Source organism: Homo sapiens, chromosome 5 (genome assembly GCF_000001405.40).
Source record: "Homo sapiens chromosome 5, GRCh38.p14 Primary Assembly".
Taxonomy (NCBI): domain Eukaryota; kingdom Metazoa; phylum Chordata; class Mammalia; order Primates; family Hominidae; genus Homo; species Homo sapiens.
This window is the reverse complement of record NC_000005.10, coordinates 103,037,713-103,044,613: the sequence shown is the minus strand read 5'-3', so window position 1 is coordinate 103,044,613 and position 6,901 is coordinate 103,037,713. Positions and strand designations below refer to the sequence as shown.

General features: G+C 36.8%; 1 annotated feature.

Annotated features, from left to right (window-relative positions):
* Nucleotides 3,215-3,509: a silencer, noted in NCBI's record as "tiled region #7406; HepG2 Repressive non-DNase unmatched - State 12:CtcfO". NCBI's record gives its function as "represses a minimal TATA promoter and a strong SV40 promoter by Sharpr-MPRA in HepG2 cells {active_cell/tissue: HepG2}" and the evidence as "EXISTENCE:reporter gene assay evidence [ECO:0000049][PMID:27701403]".

Here is a 6,901-nt window from a genome sequence, read left to right as displayed (position 1 = left end):
TTAATGATACATTTCTTGTTCCTTAATCATTCAGAAACAAAACATTTGTTTGCTCTTGTTAGCCTACATCTTAACTTAAAGAGAATATTACCGGAAGGCTTATACCCTTCTGAATGGGCATACTTTGTTAAGTCCCTTTAATCTATGGCTTGGAGTAAATATAAATGAGGCAAGGATTAAAAATTTATCCCACATATAGACTCTGTAGCAGATTCTACAGCAAAGACTATAATTGCACAACAGACTTTTAAAATTTATCTTGCTAACATTGTGCTAGATAATAGAATTGCTCTAGATTACCTACTGGCTAAACAGAAAGGAATCTGTACAGTTGCTGACACTTCTTTTTGCACACAGGGATGAATACATTAGATGTTATAGACTCAGTCACAGGGAATTAACAAACAGGCTGCTTGGTTAAAACAAGTAGACTCTTCATCTGGCCCATTCTTTGATTTATTTGATTTTAGTTGGTTTGGTTCATGGAGACCCTGGCTAAGGAACATACTCCCAACTCTTGGTGCTATCCTTCTGATAGTCTTAATAGTAGTCTCATTGGTCTGCTGTATTCTCTTAAGTTTTAAATATATGCATGTAACCATATGTAGATCATCCAATGGTCTGTCAGACTGGAACAATTAAAACTCAAAAAATTTATGATCATGAGGACACCATCACCTATTAATGATGTGCTGAGACAGAAAACCCAAAATGATGGTAACTGAGAGTAATGGTGATGCCCTAAGTTTTGGTCACACTTTCACCTTAGTGAGAAACTGACCAAAAGGGGCAAATTATTAAACAAAATCATAGCAGGCCATTATTTTGGATTGAGCTCCTGCACTAAGTCCCAAGAGACCAGACTAAACCAAAATGAAGTCACTCATGCTAAGTGCCATATAATTAAACTGGAAATTTAAGGAAAGCGATAGATCCCAAAACAGATCATTTTTTTTCTCTTGAAAATGGGATATTCCAGTACAATAAGAAAGTAGCCTCTGCTCCAACCCTTACAAAAAAGTAAGCCGAAGTAACTTTATGTCAACCAACTTGTATTTCTATTGTTCTGTTTCGTTGTTCCCACCTTACAAAACCTACTGTTCTGCTATTTCCTAGTAGAATTTGAGACCAAATAAGTCCATCTACAATGTTGATAGAGAGTGATGTCAATGCTTAAAATTTTGATCAAACTCTTAAAATTGAGAGATTGACCAAAAGGGGGAATTGTTAAATTAAGTTTGGCCAAAATCTGCTCATGCATATTTTAGATTTTGCCTGAAGGTTTCTCTGTGCATCGTGGACTCTAACCTAACTTGATGTATAAACCAACTGTAACCTATTCTTGTAACAAGTAGCCAAGTCCCAGCCAATCACAGCAGCTGAACTTCAGTCATCCATAGGCAGCTAACTGTTCAAACCAGGTTCAAATAAGGCAAACATTCAGACCATTTGGCAGCCCTGGAATCACTCTGAACCTATTCTGGTTCTGAGGGCTACCCAATTTGCCAATCATCCTTTTCCCAATTAAACTCTGTTAAATTTAATTTTTCTGAAGGTTTTCTTTTAACAAAACAGCCAAAACCTAGGCCCCTAGGATCAAGTAACATTTTATCACTAAACATTCTTTTTAATTATGATGTGGAACAAAAGCCCTCACCAGAAGCCAAGGTCATCCCCGTGAACTTTCCAGCCTGAAGAACCATGACCTAAATAAACCTTTTTTCTTTACAAATTGCACAGTCTCAGATTTTCTGTTACAGTGACGCTAAACAGACCAAGACACCATTCTTTCTATTCAGTTCCCACTGCCAGCCTCCAAGGTTACTTTACCTCAAAATTTTATTCAGTGGCCTTCCTGACTCCAGTTTATTTTCAGTCACCTTTCCAATGGAGCCTTCTGTCCACTACCAGTTCACTTCCTTAATATTTTTGTTATGTCACTACCCATTTGAAGACAACATGTAACTATCCCTATTTCTTATCACATGAACAAACAAACACAAACAAAACCTGATATCACAAAGTTTACTCTACTCTGGGCCTGCCAAATAGTGGAACACTATTTCTCAAAATATTCTATTCCCTTTATCAGAACACTGTTCCACGGGTTTACTATGTTCATGTTCATTTATGCCTCTGTTCTTTACTCATCGCCATCACCTGGAGTTTCTACTGTATCTTTTTTACCATTCCACTTCATATCTTTCTTGTTTTTAGAAGCTCAGTTCTAATCCTATCTACCTCAGTAAATCTTACCTGATATATTAGTGTGTTCTTGCATTGATATAAAGTAATACCCAAGACTGGGTAATTTAGAAAGAAAAGAGGTTTACTTGGCTCACAGTTCTGCAGGCTGTACAGGAAGCACAGTGGCTTCTGCTGTTGGGGAGACCTCAGGAAGCTTTTACTTATGGCAGAAGGCAAAGGCGGAGCAGGAATCTTACATGGTGGGAGGAGGAGCAAGAGAGAGAGTTGAGGGGTGGTGAGGTGCTGCATACTTTTTAACAAGCAGATATCACAAGAACTCTATCACAAGAACAGCACCAAGGGGATGGTGCTAAACCATTCATGAAGGAACCGCTCCCATGATCCAATCACCTCCCACGAGGCCCCACCTTCAGCATTGGGGATTATAATTTGACATGAGATTTAGATGGGGACACAGATCCAAACCATATCACCTAACAATTCCAATCATCGTAATTTTCATTTTTCTGTTCAAATTAATTACTCTCTGTACTGTATAATGTATACTGTTATAAATGGTTCTCTACTCGTTTCTTATTTGCTAGTCATTTCTTTTCAATAAGGCTGTAATTTTTTTAAGGGCAAGAACCATGTTTTACTTATAATTCTGTACGTTACATAGAGCTCATCACAGGGTAGGCTGTGAATGAATATTCATTGCCTAGATGACTGGTTTATTAGTTTAATCAAGAGATAATGCAACCAACTTAGGTCAACATAAATTTAGCCAGGAAGCTAATTAGACAGAAGACTATACAGTAATAGATCACCATTTAACCTTTTTGACAGTCACTGGGTTTTAAAAATATTCCTCCTATTTTTAATACGCAAACCCAGCACACTTTAATTATTTTCTTTTTGGTGTGTTAATAGTGACTCTTTTGGTGAAGAGAATACAGATACTGTCAGCATCTGTGTGACACCTGAGTTGCAGATATTTTAAAATATTTGGATGCTTGGCATAATGTAGACATAAAAACTGAAAGACTGGCAGTATTTTAAATTATTCTACTTGAAGACGGCCATCATCCACTAAATAACACCTATTTTTGAATGCGCAAATCCACACAAATGTTTTATTAAGTTTACCACCAGATGTCAGTCATTCACTGCAATGGTAATAACTACCCTGAAGAACTCTTTATGAAAAATCTATGTATGTGGATATCTCCCTCATCTTTCCTTCCCTCACCGACTCTTCCACTCCTTCTTTCTATGACTGTCAGTCTGTTTATTAATCAATTGTCAATTGATTATCTATTTATTTATGTATTTATAATCCACATATCTATTCTAATCTATCTAAATAATGAAAAGTATATACTAGGTATTTTGAGAAAATAACATCATAAAACATCTAAGTATTTACATATACAATATGAAAGTGACACTAAAATATTTTATACACTGTGATCTGGAATTCAGGCTCTTTTCAGCCCAGTAACTTTGAGACCAATGCAATACTATGCAGCCTTTTTTCAGGACATACTTTCACTTCTCACTTAGAATCTTTGTTTTTTGAAACTTTTATTGGATTCTTATTACTCTGGAATTAAATTCTTACTGGAAGAGCATCAATGACATAATAAGAAAATTATACAATATTTGATTTTTAGATAGGTACTAGGGTGATTTAAAAAGCTAATTTACTACTAAAGAACTATGCAAAGAAAGTTCTCCACTACCAACTTCTACCTACAACTTTTGTTTAAAATTTTTTCTGTTTTCTTGAACATTAACATACACCTTCTGTGATTCCTCATTCTGAACTTTGTCAAATATCTGACTTTACATCCATCACTGAACTTAATGAAGTGAATTTATGCTTTATTTTCCCTTTAGATTGTGAGATACTTGAGGTCAGGGAGCTTAGCAGATATCCATCAATAAACAAATGTTATTTTCTAAACATGAACTGTGGCCGGTCTGTAGTGGATTGTCTGTTACCTACTCAGCAACCGTTTTCTTTTTTCCTACCCAAATTTTGTTTAAGTGGCTAGCACTTCTCCATGGGTAGAGCCATGGGCCATTCTTTGCTATGGATTAGCTCAGAAATGGCCACACAATGCATGTGACCGAAACTGTCTTAGAGGCTTCAAGGAAAAGTTTCCTCTCTTGAAATAGTGAGCTGCAAGGACTAATGGGTAAGTTATTGCATATCTGTTGTCATTTCTGAGAAAGAAAATACTAGTGTTCTTGTGTTTCTGAATCCTTTTGGGGATTGATACAGATTTGGGGTGCATAGGGGAGTCTCTCTCTTTAAATTTTTATAGATATCAACTAGAGACATTTTTATATCACATAGAAAGAACATTCTAGAGAATAAAGCCAACACTGAGGAAAACAGAGCTGTGGGCTGGAGATACAGATAAAGACATAGAGAGAGACAGACACACACACAAGCACACAAAGAGAGAGAGAGAGAGAGATTAAAATTAAATATAAAATTAAAAACTTCCCTTTGAAAGACAAGGCTGAGAGAATGAAAAGGTAGTCCACATACTAAGAAAACATATTTGCAAATCATATGTCTGATAAAGAGCTTTTATCCAGTATTTATATAGAACAATACTCCATTTCCTAGGAATTCAGACTAACTTGAGATTTTATTTCAAGTATAATTTGTTCTTTTCTTTGTTCTGTTCAGTAAAGAAAACACTTTTTTACTTTTACTAACAGCTCTCAGCATATTAACATGTATGAAAAAAACAAGTATGTAAAATGCAGTTACATTCCAATTCCTTCTCATGGTTTTGAAATATTTCTAGTTTTATCAGCCTGGCTTTCCAGCCCATCCACTACTGCTCCCCTAAACTAGCCTGAGTGTTATGGAATATAGCCCTGTTGTTAATCCCCTACTATAACAAGCATTTTCCGATAAACCTCCTCTGCTTACTCAAATACTATCTTTTTTTTTTTTTTTTTTTTTTTTTTTTTTTTTGAGACGGAGTCTCGCTCTGTCGCCCAGGCTGGAGTGCAGTGGCGGGATCTCGGCTCACTGCAAGCTCCGCCTCCCTGCAAGCTCCGCCTCCCGGGTTCACGCCATTCTCCTGCCTCAGCCTCCCAAGTAGCTGGGACTACAGGCGCCCGCCACTACGCCTGGCTAATTTTTTTTTTTTTTTGTATTTTTAGTAGAGACGGGGTTTCACCGTTTTAGCCGGGATGGTCTCGATCTCCTGACCTCGTGATCCGCCCGCCTCGGCCTCCCAAAGTGCTGGGATTACAGGCGTGAGCCACCGCGCCCGGCCTCAAATACTATCTTTTTTATGAAGCCTTTCTGCTCTTCAATAACAATTTGATAGCATTTTACTTGTTTTCTTCTTATGCCTTAAAATCTAATTAGTTATATGCTATTTTAGCTACCTTACTAGATTACAGACATTTAAGGGATCTGTGCTTTTTTCATCTTTGTATTTTGCAGATAAACTTAATTAATGCCTGTTGAATGAATCCTTCACCTTTCAATTTATTTATTTATTTTTTCATTTATTTATTTATTTATTTATTTATTTATTTATTATTATTATACTTTAAGTTTTAGGGTACATGTGCACAATGTGCAGGTTAGTTACATATGTATACATGTGCCATGCTGGTGTTGGGTTACCTGGGTACCATATTTTATCACAGATGTGAGAATTGTGGTTTTGTTTTTAAGGAGGGATCTCTTTCTTTCAAATGGAGGCCAAACAGGTCTCAGAACAAGACTCTAGAAATTTAGAACTCCAGAAGATTTCTAAGAATTCTATGACTTCTGGGAAATACAGTACAAGAGAAAATAAACTCTGAAAATTCAAAGTGCCAGAAACTAAATTAACCTAAAGAGGCATTGGGATTAGTGTAACTAGATTAGTTAATTCTTTTCTTTGAGCCTCATTAAAAAAAAAAAAAAATCTATTAATGTATGACTGAGATGCCCAGCCAGGGACTACATTTTAGTTTTGTTCTTCTTTACAAAAAAAAAAAAGCCATTAGAATATAAATCTCAATACAGGTAGGTTATTGCCCTTTAACACTGTATCCTAAGAACTTAGTTTTTGTTTGTGAAACTTTCAGCAGTGTTTGCTAAATGACAAACAGGTGTCAGAAATCACCTTTGAATCATGGAAGGAAGTGCCTCTGGCTAGGTAGGGTTGAGTACTTGAGACTCACTAGAGTATCTTTGGGAAAGGGATACAGAACAAAAATGGCCAGCCCATCTCTAGTAAAGGAGGACTGATGTAACTCTGGGTTTTGAGGTTTAAGAGCAGAAGCTCCTGACCCCTAGTATGGATTATATGAAGGAAAAGCAGGTGGTGGTTTTGTGTCCATGAAGCACAGATATGAGAATCAGCCCTGACCCAGGACTCCTGAGCCTGTGTGTGAACTAAAAGAACCTAGCACTAAAAAGATCGGCCCTTAGAAAGCACGTACAGCACTCAGGGAGGGCGGTCTGAATTACGGCAGCTAGCAGGGGAGCATGTTTTTTTAGGACTGGTATATTAATAGATAACAATCTTCATCAGTGACATCATGAGGCAGCAAGAAGCAATTGCAGCATGGTTGCCTTACACTTGAATATGCCCTTGTTGCATCTGGAAATCTACTGCTGATTCTATCCATGCCTTTTGAAGGGACATAGGTTTTGTCTTTGTTTTCTTGGTTTTTGTTGTTG